The following is a 15,917-nucleotide window of genomic DNA, read 5'->3' as shown; positions in this document are numbered from 1 at the left end:
CCCAAGTGCTGATGACACTAAGCCTGGTTTTAGGGGCAGATGCTAGACAATGTTTAACAATCTTTTTTTTTTTTTTTTGATTGATTGATTTATTGTAAAGATAGGGTCTCACTATGTTGCCCAGACTGGTCTCAAACTCCTGGGCTCAAGCAGTCCTCCCGCCCTGCCCTCTCAGAGTGCTCAGATTACAGGCGTAATCTGAGCCTTTTCTTTTCTTTTTTTCAAAAGTTTAACAGTCTTGATTTCCAGATTCTCATAGAGCATGTCCTTAGTGGCACCTGTTTGTGGAGCCAAGTGTGTGCGGAGCTGCAGGGTGTCCTGACTGTGCTAGGTCTTGTGCTAGGTCTTGTGCTGTGGCCACCCATCCGTTGACTACTGAATTTTTTTTTTTTTTTTTGAGATGGAGTCTGTCACCCAGGCTGGAGTGCAGCGGCACAATCTCGGCTCACTGCAAGCTCCACCTCCCGGGTTCACGCCATTCACGCCATTCTCCTGCCTCAGCCTCCTGAGTAGCTGGGACTACAGGCGCCCGCCACCGCACCCAGCTAATTTTTTTATTTTTAGTAGGGACGGGGTTTCACCGTGTTATCCGGGATGGTCTCGATCTCCTGACCTCGTGATCCGCCTGTCTCAGCCTCCCAAAGTGCTGGGATTACAGGCATGAGCCACCGCACCCGGCCGACTACTGAACATTTTTTAACTCTTACCCCCGACAAACTCTTGAGGGTTTGTTTTTTCTGTTGATCAGAGGTGAAGAGTTAACAGATATGGACTGGTTTTGAATGCCGTTTGGTAGACTCTTTTTAAAGGTCTCTCTCTTGCAGGTGGTCCTGACAACCAAGTCCACTTTGAAGGGTACCAGGTGTCCAATCAGTGTATGGCACTGGTCCGTGATGAGTGTTTGCTGCCATGCAAGGACGCCCCGGAGCTTGGCTACGCCAAGGAGTCTAGCAGTGAGCAGTACGTGCCTGATGTGTTTTATAAGGTAAAAGTATGGTAAGAAAAAGAACTCTGTACATGGAGAATGGTGTGAACCTGTCTTGGACCTTTCTAATTTGGGTGCATTCTGCCTATAGCAGCCGTTTGTCAGCTGTGGTTGAACCCTGCTTGTCACTAAAGGCTTCTGTCACGTTTCTGGGGCTGGATATTCGCTACTCATGCTTCCATGGCGTAGGGCTTCTCACCAGAAGTGGAGCTACATGCACTGGCTTTGAGATCAGTAACACCAAATCCGACCATTGCAACACAGACAGTCTCAGTTTCTAAAGATGAGAAGATGGGTCCTTGGCATGGTGGCTCATGCCTGTAATCCCAGCATTTTGGGAGGCCAAGGCAGGAGGATTGCTTGAGTCCAGAACTTCAAGACCAGCCTGGGCAACATAGCGAGACTGTGTCTCTACAAAAAGTAGATGTGGTGGCATGAACTGTAGTCCCAGCTACTCAGGAGGCTGAGGTAGGAGGATCACCTGAGTCTGGGGAGGTCAAGGCTGCAGTTAGCCATGATTGTGCCACTGCACTACAGGCCTGGGTGACAGAGCGAGACCCTGTCTCAAGGATAGGGGTGGAGATGAGAAGACCGTGGGAGATGTTTCGGGACCTTTTTTAGAATCCTGCCAATTGCAGCTACTCAATGTTTTCTCTTTTTGGTGTTTCCCGCTCCTTTGGGGGCTCCAGTTACACATGTATTTGGCTGCCTGAAGTTGTCCCGCAGTTTACTGATACTCTGTTCATTTCATTTCAGTCTTCTTCAGTGTTTCATTTTGGATAATTTCTTTTAGTCTTCACATTCGTTGATCTGGACTTCTACAGTGTCTCATCTGCAGTTAATCTCATCCAGCATATTGTTCATCTCAGACATTGTAGTTTTCATTCCAGAAGTTTAAGTTGTTAATTGCTTCCTGTGTTTCTACTTAACTCTTTGAACATAGGGGATACAGTTATATTAACTTTTTTCGGCCGGGCGCGGCGGCTCATGCCTGTAATCCCAGCACTTTGGGAGGCCGAGATGGGCGGATCACAAGGTCAGGAGATTGAGACCATCTTGGCTAACACGGTGAAACCCCGTCTCTACTAAAAAAAAAAAATACAAAAAATAAGCCGGGCGTGGTAGCAGGCACCTGTAGTCCCAGCTACTCGGGAGGCTGAGGCAGGAGAATGGCGTGAACCTGGGAGGCGGAGCTTGCATTAAGATCGTGCCACTGCACTCCAGCCTGGGGAACAGAGCTAGACTCTGTCTCAAAAAAAAAAAAAAAAACAACTTTTTTCTTTGTTTCTTTTTTCCTTTTTTTTTTTTTTTTTAAAGAGACAGGGTGTCAGCTGGGCGCAGTGGCTCACGCCTGTAATCCCAGCCCTTTCGGAGGCTGAGGCGGGCGGATCACAAGGTCAGGAGATCGAGACCATCCTGGCTAACACGGTGAAACCCCGTCTCTACTAAAACTACAAAAAGTTAGCCGGGCATGGTGGCAGGCGCCTGTAGTTCCAGCTACTCGGGAGGCTGAGGCAGGAGAATGGTGTAAACCTGGGAGGCAGAGCTTGCAATGAGCCAAGATTGTGCCACTGCACTCCAGCCTGGGTGACAGAGCAAGACTCCGTCTCAAAAAAATAAAAAATAAAAAAATAAAGAGACAGGGTGTCACTATGTTGGCCAGGTTGATCTTGAACTCCTGGCCTCGAGCAGTCCTCCCGCCTCAGCCTCCAAAAGTGTTGGGGTTATAGGCGTGAGCCACTGCACCCGACCCATATTAACTTTTAATGTTCTTATATACTAACTCATATCACCTGCTTATTTCTGCATCAGTTTTAATTGATTGATTTTTTTTCTAATTATGGGTTAGCATATGTGGGTCTGCAGCTGCAATGTGTTTTCCGTGGACCGTCTGTCTGTCTGTCCTTGTTACTGGCGTGCTGAGTGTGTGTGGTGTGCTGCTCATTGTGTATCACAAGCCAGAGACTCCAGCAGGGTGTTTTCTTCCAGAGAGGGCTTTCCTTTCCTCCATGGGAAATGTGGTGGTGGTGAGCTGTCCATCTCCATCCAGGTGGCAAGTAGCTGGTCAGAGCCGAGTTGCATTTTGATGAGACTTCGTCTATTGTTGATCCTTCCCTTTTTCTACAGTGTAACCCCTTAGGGGTGCCATCTGAGAGCCTGGTAGAGCTCTTTGTGAGGTGACAGTCTTCCTTAAATCTTTGTCTCATTGGCCCTGAAAGGCTGGGAGATACAGTCTGTCCAGAAGTTTCTTGTTTTCCTCATGCCTCATACAGCTTAAATATGTAGGTATCCCATGTACCTTAAAACTTTTGCAAGCATCTTTTTTTTTTTTTTTTGAGACAGTTTTGCTCTGTTACCCAGGCTGGAGTACAGTGGCGCGATCTCGGCCCACTGCAGCCTCCGCCCCTTGAGTTCAAGCGATTCTTGTGCCTCAGCCTCCCGAGTAGTTGGGACTACAGATGTGTGCCACCTGCCCGGCTAATTTTTTGTGTTTTTAGTAGAGACTGTGTTTTACCATGTTGGCCAGGCCGGTCTTGAACTCCTGGACTCAAGTGATTTGCCCACCTTGGCTACCCAAAGTGTTGGGATTATAGGCGTGAGGCCACCCAAAGTGCTGGGATTACACCACACCCAGCTGCAAACATCTTGAGGGGAGAGAATGGCTGCATGTTTGAAATTCCTGTGTCTCCAGAGTCTCTGCCAGACCCTCATCTCCCAGCACTCACTTCCTGCAGGAGGGGAGGGAAGGGGCTTTCCATCTCAGTGCCACAGTCCCCTTTGCTGGGGGTCTTCTTATCTGGTTTGGATTCAGGCCCCTGCCTCCCCTTCCTCCCTCCTACCCCGTTGGGCAGGCTGGTCTCGAACTCCTGATCTCAAGTGACCTACCCACCTCAGCCTCACAGAGTGCTGGGATTACATGCATGAGACACTGTGCCTGACCTATATTTTTCTTTTGAAACAGCATCTCGCTCTGTCACCCAGACTGGAGTGCAGTGGCGTGATCTCAGCTTGTTGCAACTTCTGCCTCCTGGGCTCAAGTGATCCTCCTGCCTCAGCCTCCCGCGTAGCTGGGACTATAGGCGCACACTACCATGCCCACCTAACTCTTTTGTATTTTTAGTAGAATCAGGATTTCACCATGTTGCCCAGGCTGGTCTTGAACTCCTAGGCTCAAGCAATCTGCCTGCCTCAGCCTCCCACAGTGCTGGGATTATAGATGCTGGGATTACAGATGTGAGCCACTGCACCCAGCCTCTGATTTCTTTCTTTCCCCCCCCCCCCAGAAATGGAGTCTTCCTCTGTCTCCCAGGCTGGAGTGCAGTGGCCTGATCTCGGCTCACTGCAACCTCTGCCACCTGAGTTCTGCGATTCTCCTGCCTCAGCCTCCCGAGTAGCTGGGATTACAGGTGTGCACCACCACGCCTGGCTAACTTTTAAATTTTTAGTAGAGATTGGATTTCACCATGTTGGCCAGGATGGTCTCAAACTCCTGACCTCGTGATCTGCCCACTTTGGCCTCCCTAAGTGCTGGGATTACAGGCGTGAACCACCACACCCGGCCTTGATTTCTTAACGATGTGGATAATCAGCTATATGAGCACAGTTTTGGGAATAAAAGCAAACTTTTGTTTCCCTTTTAATCTTTGATGCTTCTCTGTCGTCGGTCATCTCCAGGAATCATGGATGTTACTGGACTCTGTTCTATTCCATTGGCCAGTTTTCCTAAACCAGAACTAATACCATACTCTTTTTTTTTTTTTTTTTTTTTTTTTGGCGACAGAGTCTCGTTCTGTCGCCCAGGCTGGAGTGTAGTGGTGCGATCTCAGATCACTGCAACCTCCGCCTCCCGGGTTCAAGCAATTCTTCTGCCTCAGCCTCCCGAGTAGCCAGGACTACAGGCGCACGCTGCCACGCCTGGCTGATTTTTTGTATTTTAGTAGAGACAGGGTTTCACCATGTTGCCCAGGCTGGTCATGAACTCCTGAGCTCAGCAGGCAATCTGCCCACCTCGGCCTCCCAAAGTGCTAGGATTATAGGCGTGAGCCACCGTGCTGGGCCTCGTTCCCATGTTCTTTAATGTCTCTTAGAAAGGTTTTCAGTTTTCTCTGTGGAGGTCTTACCTATCATTTGTTAGGTTATTCCTAGGTACTTTAATTTTTTTTAAGCCTGTTACAAAATAGCACTATCTTAAAATTACATTTTTAAACTGTTGGTGTTTGAAACAGGTAAATTTTTGTATCCAGCAACTGCTATCTGTTCCTCAGTATTATTATTTATAAGTTTAGTCTTTCGCATTTCCTACACGTATTATCCTTTCCATCATCAGCCCTTCTCATTCTCTGGGCTTTTCCCAGTGTTGCCTGGGATCTCCCAAACAGCACTCATGACAGTGGAAGTCTCTGGCACCTTTGTCTTGCTTTTAATTGTAAAGCAAGTGCTTTTAGGATTTTATCATTAACTGTGAGTTTGCTGTAGGATTATTTTTAAATACCCTTTTCAGATTGGAAATTGGCTTTTTTATTTCCATGCGTTATTGTAAGTTTCTTGCACTTAGGAATGGAGCTCCCTTTTGTCATGAAATATGTGACATTTCCTTAATCATTCTGTTGTTTTCATAGAGTGCTTATTTGCCCTCTGTTAGCGAGAATAGGCTAGAAATACTTCCCAGAATTGTTTATAGCCCTGTAGGATTTGAGACAGATTTCTCATGTTTCAGGAAAATATCAGTTGGAGCAAAGAGAACTGTAAAAGCAAACATTGAAGTCATCCTTTTAGTCCTCCCATGGACTTTGCGGTTGGAGGTGACATGCCTTGTAAACAAAACCTGCACCAATATTTGTCTGAGGCTGCTGTTTATCATGTTGTTGTCTCTGGCAATAAAAATGGGAAACAATTGAAAAGCCCTGTCCCAAGGGCATATTAAGTTACAGCTGGACTCTGGGATAGCATGTGGTTACTAAAGGTATGTGTTTGCAAATTATTTAAAGATAAGGGGTAAAACTTAGAAAGCAAAATTAAAAATGCATCTATACCTAGAGTATAATACCAATTTTTTTTGTTATTTTCTTGAAGACACGTATAGGCATTTGCACATGGATGTGGACATACATTTACATGCACTCACACATGGGGTGGGAGTAGAAGCTTCCTGACTGTCCTTCAGGAGGGAGGAGAGTCTACAGCTTTGCCCTGTCCCATATGCAGCCAGTAAGAGAACGAGGAAGAGCCTTGTGGACAGATGAGGGGAGCTGTGCAGATGCTGGCCTTGGAGAAGTGATTTGAAGGCACATTTGTGTCATCGTTCACGTGTAGTTTTTTAGGAAAGCATATGGGTGTACACATAGTCCTGTGAGGACCAGGAGCTTCCCGAGGGACTAGGGCCAGCCAGCCTCACTCATCTCTGGGGCAGCCAGGTGGCAGGACGTGGGGCTTTTCTCTTTCACCTTTCTTGTGAAAGGGAACATTTGTCCCCTGCAGAAAAACATGAAGAAAACATATTTAATGATAACTACTCTTTGCATCTGGTAGAGTTCTTGTTTCCTTTTCTATTCTTTTAACTTCAAAACAAAGACTTGTAATTATGGAGAATAAATGAGTGCATTTATTGACTATATGGCCAAATCAGAATGTATTTAATTGGTCTTGTGTTGATGGCCTTTGGTTCTTCCTGGTTGTTACAGAAAGTGCCACATTTAACACCCTATACATCCTCCTGTGACATCTTTGTATATCTTCAAAATAGAATTGCTGGGGAGGAAGGTTTTTCGAGTTTTGATAGATATTTCCAAGTCGCTCACTGAAAAGTCACACTAACATCTCTCTTGATAATTAGGAAGAAGAGTTTAAAATAACTTTCCAGCCATGAATGCACATGGGTGTGTCACACACACTCTGCGTCACGTGGCAGTGGCTGCTGTGCTGGCGCACATGGGCGCTCAGTTGTGAGTGCGCAGGGGCGGCGCCGCAGGGAGGAGGCCTGGCCCTGGCCGGGAGGCTCCTTGGGTTTTTGTGTGTTTCTTCGAATCGGGAGGCTGGCTGTGGCTCACTGCCCATCAGCCCCAAGAGCCTGCAGCTGTGGAGCTTTATGTGCAGCCCCAGAGCCCAGCTGGTGGGGGTTTTGTTTGGGCAGGCTGGGACCTCCTGCCCATCACACAGGGACAAGACTCACACTCGTAGACTGTTGTACAGCCAGGAGGCGCTTGACTGTCTTCTGTCTTTTCCTTTAAAAAGAATACTAATAGACTAGGTGTGGTGGCTCACACTTGTAATCCCAGCACTTTGGAAGGCCAAGGTGGGAGAATTGCTTGAGCTCAGGAAGTCGAGGCCAGTCTGTGTGACATAGCAAGACCTCATTTCTACAACAACAAAAAAAAATTAGTCGGGTGCTGTGTCATGAGCCTGTGGTCCCAGCTACTCAGGAGGCTGAGTCAGAAGGATCTCTTTAGCCCAGGAGTTCACGGCTGCAGTGAGCTATGATTGTACCACTGTACTCCAGCCTGGGCGACAGAACAAGACTCCTCCAAAAACATGCAGACATACATACACACACAGAACACCGCTAGATGCTTAGGTGTTCAGCTGCTTCCCACTGAAGGTGAAACTCGGGTCCATGCCCCTCATCGGGCATCATAGCTGAAAACCTCCTGGTACGGATGTGACGTGCAGGCATCTTCAGCTTTGCCCTTTCATGCCCGTCATGCCACAGCTCGCTTACCTCACGGCCCTCCTGGTTGTGCTGCTGCAGCCTGCAGGACAACCGCTGGGCCTCAGCTTGGGCTCCTAGAATCATAAGTTCTCTGGAAATGTTCCCCAAGTAAGTCTTCCGACTGGCTCTGTCTATGCTCCATGTTTTCTGGTGATTCACTGTGGTGTCTGGGCCCCTCGGGTGTTCTTTGGTACAGAGGAGCCCTCCTCATGTTCCCTCTCTGACACTAGGGTGTGGTGGGTCCACCATGGAAGCATGTCTCTGCTGTCAGCACGTCCCAGAGACATTTTGAGATGGTCTGGGACTCCATCCAGGGCATAGCGAGGCTACTAGCTCTGCCCAGAAGGTCTAAGTTATTCCTGCGCCTCTGCTTTCGGGATGCTCTTTCCTGCGTCTGTGTGATGTGTGAGGATGTGGCAGGCTACGACCCTTCTGCCACAGAGATCACACAGCCTCCAGTCCTTTTATTCCCACTCCTCTGGACATGGGACAGTGGCTCTAGTGTCTGGAATCTGACTTGGCTTTGTAGCTGTGCCTTTACCACCTTGCTGGCTGGCGCCCCGGGAGTATACTCTCTTCCCATGGACTGCCTTCACTGGCTGATTTCTGTAATCGTTGTGGGGGAGTGAGGAGAGGTGGCCTTGGTGCTGTGGAGGACTGGCTGCCCCTCTGGCTGGAGCCAGTTGTCTCCTCACTGCTCGCACCTATGCCAAGGGTCTGGGCGTCCACAGGGCTTATTCCTCTGGGGCAGGGAGAATTGGTTGATTGGGTTTGAGGGAGCCTCTTGAGGACAAGTAACAATTGGGCACTTTGACAAGGGGCTGGCTTTCAGTTCTTTTGTGACATGGTGATTTTATTAACTTTTTTTTTTTTTTTTTTTTTTTTTTTTGCGTTGGAGTCTGGCTGTGTTGCCCAGGCTGGAATGCAGTGGCCCAATCTCGGCTCACTACAACCTCCGCCTCCCAGGTTCAAGCAATCCTGCCTCAGCCTCCCAAGTAGCTGGGATTACAGGCACCTGCCACCATGCCTGGCTAATTTTTTTGTATTTTTAGTAGCGACAGGGTTTCGCCATGTTGGCCAGGCTGGTCTCAAACTCCTGACCTCAGGTCATCCACCCGCCTTGGCCTCCCAGAGTGCTGGGATTAAGGTGTGAGCCACCGCTTCCAGCCTTACTGTGTTTTAAAATCTCTATTTTCTTCTCCTTCAGCCATGAGGAAATAGTCTGACGGGCATAAGCCCACGGGTGGGCTGGCCCAGGGCCACTGGGGATTTTGTACTTCCATGCCATGTCTCTCCCAGGCCCCCAGCTGTGGGCATGGGAGGCTGGCCCTGGGCCCTTCAGAGCTGAGCGGGGAGCGAGAGCTGTTGTGTTTGGGTGGCCAAGCCCTTGGTAGCACTGACCTGATTCACTGTGCGATGCTCTCACGGCATCCATTCTCTCATGTTTAGAGAACACCTGTGAATTGCCAGGCCCTGGAGTTCATGGAGAATGGAGAAGGGCTCCCTGCATCGGGGAGACTGCTGCAGCAGGGGAGGTGGGCCACCCCAGCGGAACGGGTAGAGAAGCTTGGAGTGCCCTGGTGGGTCGAGTCCTGAGAGGGGAGAGAAGGTGTCAATTGGCAGAGCAGCTCTGGGGGTGTCTGGAGGAGATTGTTCAGACAGAGGCAGCAGCCTGTTCCCCACACAGAGAGTGATAAGCAGGGTGGCCTGCTGGGGTAGAGGTGGGAGGGGCCCTTGGAAGCTGAATCTATGGTTGGAAGTGAGATGAGGGCTTCTGAAAGGTGCTGAAGGGAGATGGCTGTGCCGGGGCTGTGAGACGATCACTCTGGCTGCTGGGCTCGGAGCTGGAAAAGGAGACTAGGGTAGAGAGTAGAGATGGCTGTGCAGTAGTGAGGGGGTTGAGTGTGTGGTGTGATCGAGAGAAGAGGCAGGCAGACTCCAGGGTGTCCAGGCCAGGCTGGAAGGCTGGGGATCTGTCGGCGATGTGCTAGTGCAGAGGCACCACCCGGGGTGAGCGCATTGCTTGGGAGAGGCACATGGTACAGATGGTGTTGGGGTGGTGCTTGAGGCCTGGTGAGAGGCCGAGTTGTCCATCCTGGAGGGGATGGCTGAGGAGAACCCCACCTTGGGGGAATGAGGTGGAGAGCACTGGGAGGCAGGAGCTGGGGAGGAGGGGCAGGAGCATAGCGCCCTGGAAGGCAGGCAAGAAAGGAGCTCCCTGGTGAGTCAGGAGAGGAGGCTTTGCCTTCAGCAGCTCAGGGGTGTTGGGAGCTTTGATGAGCCTGGCTGAGTAGTAGATAAGCGGCTGCCGAGAGTGAGCTCACAGAGGAGAATGGGGGGTGAGCTCACAGAGGAGAATGGGGGGTGAGCTCACATCAGCAAGCTGCATGACTCTTTCGGGGGGTTTCACTGCCAGGGAGAGCAAAGGACAGTCACCAGTATGGGAAGTGGGATTGAGAAGTTTTCTTGTTTGGGTTTTTATTAACGTAAGGGAAATACTGACATGGGCATGTACTGCTTCCTGGTGTCCAGCAAAGGAGCTAATTGGCACACAGAGAGGAAGGGGCATGGTCCGTGTGTCAGGGACAGCTTTGGGGCATCTGGAGACAGGTCAGTACAATGAGGATGGGAGGCAGAGGTGGGTGGAGCTGGCAGGAGCGATGGGATGCAGGTTTGGGGATCAGCTTGCTCACAGGAAGCCACAGGGTCAGCTGAAGGGGGAGGCTGGAGTGGAGACCACCTTTTAGACCAGGAACTTGTGAAGGGGGTGTTGTCCAGGTAGGAGGGAGAGGCTGGCAGCAGGAGGGTCTCAAATCTAAAGATCCACATGCATCAGACAGCTCGAAGTCTATTTATTTTTGAGATGGAGTCTCGCTCTGTCACCTAGGGTGATGTGCAATGGCACGATCTTGGCTCACTGCAATCTCCGCCTCCCTGGTTCAAGCAGTTCTCCTGCCACAGCTTCCCAGGTACTTGGGATTACAGGCGCCCACCACCACGCCCAGCTAATTTCTTTTTTGTATTTTTAGTAGAGAGGGGTTTTGCCATGTTGGCCAGGCTGGTCTCAAACTCTTGACCTTAAGTAATCCACCTGCCTTGCCTCCCAAAGTGCTAGAACTACAGGCGTGAGCCACCACGCTAAACAGTAATGCATGCAGTCTATGCTGTGTGCACCTGTGGCCCCAGGTACTCAGTAGGCTGAGGCAGGAGGATCGCTTGAGCCCAGGAGTTCGAGGCTGCAGTGAGCTTTGATTGCACCACTACACTCCTGCCTGGGCAACATAGTGAGACCCTGTCTCTAAATAAATAAATATGGAACATTTTAAATATGAAATGAAATGTATGTTTATTATGAAAAAATTAAATATTGTAGATTGGTAAGAAGAAAATGGACGCCCCCTAGCACCCTTTGTGATATGGATAGGCTTTGTGTCCACACCCACACCTCATCTTGACTCACAATCCCCAGGTGTCAAGGAGAGATGAGGTGGAGATAATTGAATCATGGGGGTGGTTCCCCCATCCTGTTCTCAGTGATAGTGAGTGCATTCTCACAAGATGTGTTAGATTTATAAGGGGCTCTTCCCCCTTTGCTCGGCACTTCTCTTTCCTGCCACCTTGTGAAGAAGGTGCCTTGCTTCCCCTTCCCCTCCTGTCATGCTTGTAAGTTTCCTGAGGGCTCCCCAGCCATGCTGAACTGTGAGTCAATTAAACCTCTTATAAATTACCCAGTCTTGGGCAGTTCATTATAGCAGTGAGAAAACGGACCAGTCGTACCGTTTATCTGTTGAGAGCTTCCCGTGGGTCAGGTGTTAGGCCTGGGGCGCCACGGTGAGCAGGTCCCTCATGGTCCCTCTTCTTGGAAACTGTGGAGGTGTCCTGTTGGGGAGCAGGGTGCGCCGAGGTGGCCATTCACAGTGCTGAGACTAGAGTGTGTGAGAGGAAGCCACGCGGAGTGGAATCTGCTGAAGCTATGTACCTGGAGAGCACAGCATGCACCCGGCGGGGCCAGTCTAGCTGGAGTGGCTTGTGGTGGACAGTGGGAGGCCATGGAAAGACTTATGGAAAGTGAGTTCTGGAATGTTCCTGCTGGAGGTGTCAGGAGGGGTGGTCTGGAGGCGGGAAGCTTTTGCAACAATCCAGGCATTGGATGCCAGTAGCCTGAGTCAGGAGAAGGCAGCAAGTTTAGAGGAGTGAGTGGGGCTGAAATCCAGGTAGGAGAGGCAGTGGACAGGTGCTGACAGCCGGATGGGGTGGGCAGGGGAGGTCCCCGCTGTAGAAGACCCATCCTGGGCTGCAGTGTGGGGAACGGTTTGGAGTTGGGGAGCCCAGTGAGAAGCTGGTGGTGTTGGCAATCCAGGCCACATGTCAGTTCCCTGTGGCCTTGGGGACAAGGATGGTGTGCTGGGACTGAGAGGTTTGGAGGCCTGGCAGGTGTGCAGAGAGGAGCACAGGCTCAAGCCAGGTTCCTGGTTTTGGGGAGCAGGGTTGGCACTGGTGCCAGAGTAGAGCCATGGGTCTGTGTGGGAGGATGGTGAGTCCAGGTGCCAGCACGCAGAGTTTGAAGATGGAGCAGGACAGACGGTTGCCAGGACTCAGGTCTGGAAGCTCAGGCAAGAGATACAGGCCAATAGTTCCCTTTTCAGACTATCTGTGGAGAAAGCCTAAATTAACCCAGAAGTAGATGAGCCAAGCCGTGGTTCAGAGGGAGAAGAGAAGAGTGCGTTGAGCTAACCCGGAAGTAGATGAGCCAAGCTGTGGTTCAGAGGGAGAAAAGAAGAGGGCGTTGAGCTAACCCGGAAGTAGATGAGCCAAGCTGTGGTTCAGAGGGAGAAGAGAAGAGGGCGTTGAGCAACTCCAAGGATGGCTGCTCTAAAGAGGTCAAGGAGAAGGGTCTGGGAGAGGTGGGAGGGTGATGTCCTGGTGCCAAGGGACAGTGCTGGGGTCCTCTGTCTGGAGAGCTGTGCGGACAGGCAGTCTGGCGAGGACTACACAGTGATGGGGTGGGGCGGGTCAGAGCGCCGTGGGGAGCTGAGGGGACATAGGAGCAGCAAGGGAACAGCGTTCCTTCAAGGAGCCAGCTGTGGAGGGGCCAGAGGGTATCTCTGAGGAACCCACTGCCCCTTGCTGTGGCCAGGCATTGCTTACTCAGCAGGCCGTGGGGTTTGTTGGCATCTGGCACTGTGAACAGCACTTGGTGGACCCTGTAACTCATTCTTAGTGCATGCTTTAAATTACTTGGGATGAATTGCTAGAACTAGGATTATGTTGCCGAAGCTTACTATGTACTCGAAGGGTCTGTGTGTCCTCCCACGTTTCCTCTGGGAATGTGGCAGGGTGGACACTTGCAGGTGGTGCTGCAGACCAGCCTTGCCCTCGCGCCCGTGACTCTGGCAAGGACCAGGCAGGCCCAGGACCCCGCTCTCTGTGCTTCTTTGACCACAGGGAGTCTCCTGTGTTTACTGACTGTTTTCTTTGTGAGTAGCCTCTGTGTGCACTTAAGTATTTGTAAAGTGATTCATCATTTTTGGCATTCATTTGTGAGGTCTTTGTATATTAACCCTTTGTCGTGTGTTGCAAACACACGCCAGGTTTTCGTTCTTTGTCTTTTATACAAAGAAGCTGAAATATTTTCTGATTTCAAAGATACCTTAACTCTTTTTCTTGTAATTTCTGCCTTTGTCATCGTACTTTGGAAGTACAATTGCCCCTCAGTTGACACAGAGGATTGGTTCCAGGACCTCCATATATAGTCAAGTCCACATGCACTCACGCCCCAAAGTGGATCCTTCCAACCTGCTTATATGTAAAGTTAGACCTCCGTATACATGAGTTTCCTAGCCCTCGAATACTGTATTTTCAATCTGTGTTTGGTTGAAAAAAGTCTGCCTATAGGTGGACCTGCTCAGTTCAAACCCGCGTTGTGCAACGGCCAACTGTAATTCTTTCCCCCAGAACTATGCATCTACCTACATACTCTTTCCGTGCTTTTAGGATTTAATTTTATTTTGAGATCCATAATCCATTTATGCATGATACTGGTACAGGTAGGAATCTAGCTTTTGTGCTTCTCTAGATGTTTGCCTGGTTGACCTAGTCCCACTGTTCATTGTAAAACAAGGTATCTGTGTCTCCTCATGTCTTACTTCTGGTCATCGTCCTCTGTGCCACTTACCTACAATCTATTCCTTTGTTGTTACCAAACTGCTCTGTTTGCTATAGCCCTGTAACCCACTTGTATTTGCTGGCACAAGACCCAGCAGCACGCAACTTTTTAAAACAAGCCTTTTCACTCATAGGAGATTGTGTTTGCTTCCAGCATTATTCAGGCAGGTTTATCAATTAATCAAGAAACTGCCATCGACAGAAGAGATTCTGAATCACTTATTATAGCATATTCCCAGTCTTAAGAGAAAATTTTGCATCTTCCCTTGCGGTGGAGGTGGGAGAGTCTTACTCAGTGTGAGACGGCTGTTGGGGTCCGAGCCTCAACTTCAAGGTTCCCCAAAGGCAGGAGGGAGGCCTGCGTGTGCCCTGGCCCTGCAGCACCGGCACTGACTTGGGAGGCGGGGAGCCTGCGCACGTAGTGTGGGGGGCCCAGTCTCTACACAGCTGTCCAGCTGTCCTTGCCGATTGCTTTAGGAGGTTCACTCATCTTTGTAACCCTTCCTGTCTTGGACAGCAGTAGTGCCTGTGACCAGTGTGTTTGTGAGGACGAAGTGGCTCTGTGCACACAGCTGGCCCCTGAGAAATGCCAGCTGCCAGTTCTGTGTGCATCCAGTCGTTGCACACGGACTGGACTATTTTCTAAGTGGTGCTTTTAAGAAACCAAGTGTCAGCTGGGCGCTGTGGCTCACGCCTGTAGTCCCAGCACTTTGGGAGGCCAAGGCGGGTGGATCATGAGGTCAGGAGATCGAGACCATCCTGGCTAACACGGTGAAACCCCGTCTCTACTAAAAAATAGAAAAAAATTAGCCGGGCGTGGTGGCGGGCACCTGTAGTCCCAGCTACTCGGGAGGCTGAGGCAGGAGAATGGCTTGAACCCGGGAGGCGGAGCTTGCAGTGAGCCGAGACCGCGCCACTGCACTCCAGCCTGGGCGACAGAGCGAGACTCCCTCTCAAAAAAAAAGAAAAGTAACCGAGTGTCTGAAAGCTTTGTTTTTTCTGAGTTATCCTGTGGCGGCTCAGATCCTGGTGTCATTTGTGCCCCTTCTTGCCAGTTCTTAGAAAAGCAGCACATTCAGGATTTCATTTACCTTTTCTAAAGCAGGGTTGATGCCATTCAATCAATGGAATTCACTGTTGTCCTGGCATAAAGCCCACATGCTTTTGTGTTTGTGTGTGTGTGTGTGTGTGTGTGTTTGTTTGTTTGTTTGGAGACAGTCTTGTAGAGACGGAGTTTCACCACGTTGTCCAGTCTGGTCTCAAACTCCCGACCTCAAGCCGTCTGCCCACCTCGGCCTCCCAAAGCGCTGGGATTACAGGCATGAGCCACTGTGCCCTGGGCATCCCCATTGCTTTTGAGCTAACAAAGACATCGATCCCTGGATTTCTCTTGGTGTCAAGACCTTGGCGCCACTGCTTCCAGAAGTGGCCTCTGGCGGGTGGCGAGGTGTTGGGGCCACAACCTCCGACCTCCTGGTGCCTCGCTCCAGGTGGAGATAAAGCTGCTGACACTTTGACGGCTGCCAAACTTAGAATTAAGACAACCTCCTCCCAGCGCATTCCAACTGACATTTTCTAAGGCCCATAAAAAGTAATTGCCTTTTAAAATGGTGTGTAGGCCTAGGGATTGGCTGGCGAAAACATCTGAGTGAAGGCTTGGGGGAGAGGTAGAAGTGACCTGTTTCCCCAGGGAGGAAAGGGGGATACAACACCTTTATTTTCTTGGGGAGTGGAAAAGATGCAGTTGGGTAGTTAAGTTTGAAAGAGAATAGCATGACACAAAAAAGAGAGAGGGGCATTTAACAAGAAAAATCCCTAGAGGGGGAGATTAAAGTGAACAGGTGCTGGAAAAATGTTTCTGCATATTAGAGCTTAATTAGATTTGAAGATGAATTCCAGATGGGCTAATTATGTGTGAGTTGTTGCAGGTTTATTTCTTGTAGGGGCAAGCCTGTATTTTTGGAAATGGTGATTTAGTTTGACTGGATTTGATTTTTGCCTCCTACCAAATCTCCATTGAGAAACCACCTCTTTTGGGGCCCCAGGACCCCGTGCAGTAGG

At 50.0% G+C, this 15,917-nt stretch overlaps 1 protein-coding gene across 10 annotated transcripts in view; it reads left to right on the top strand.

Annotated features, from left to right (window-relative positions):
• The window catches only part of NPLOC4 (NPL4 homolog, ubiquitin recognition factor), an 80,228-nt gene that overhangs the window by 47,184 nt on the left and 17,127 nt on the right, over window positions 1-15,917 (top strand). For 4 of the 10 annotated variants that reach the window (XM_011524980.2, XM_047436368.1, NM_001369698.1 and 1 more), the window contains one exon: window positions 810-985. The exons of 1 other annotated variant lie outside the window; for it this stretch is intronic. In XM_011524980.2, coding sequence (XP_011523282.1) covers window positions 810-985 — 176 coding nt within the window. Of the gene's footprint in view, window positions 1-809; window positions 986-12,495; window positions 12,572-15,917 lie in introns of those variants that run through there. 5 more of the 10 variants (NM_017921.4, NM_001438810.1, NM_001437986.1 and 2 more) reach the window with 2 other exon arrangements.

Source organism: Homo sapiens, chromosome 17 (assembly GCF_000001405.40).
Source record: "Homo sapiens chromosome 17, GRCh38.p14 Primary Assembly".
Taxonomy (NCBI): domain Eukaryota; kingdom Metazoa; phylum Chordata; class Mammalia; order Primates; family Hominidae; genus Homo; species Homo sapiens.
This window is presented reverse-complemented; position numbering and strand designations above follow the sequence as displayed.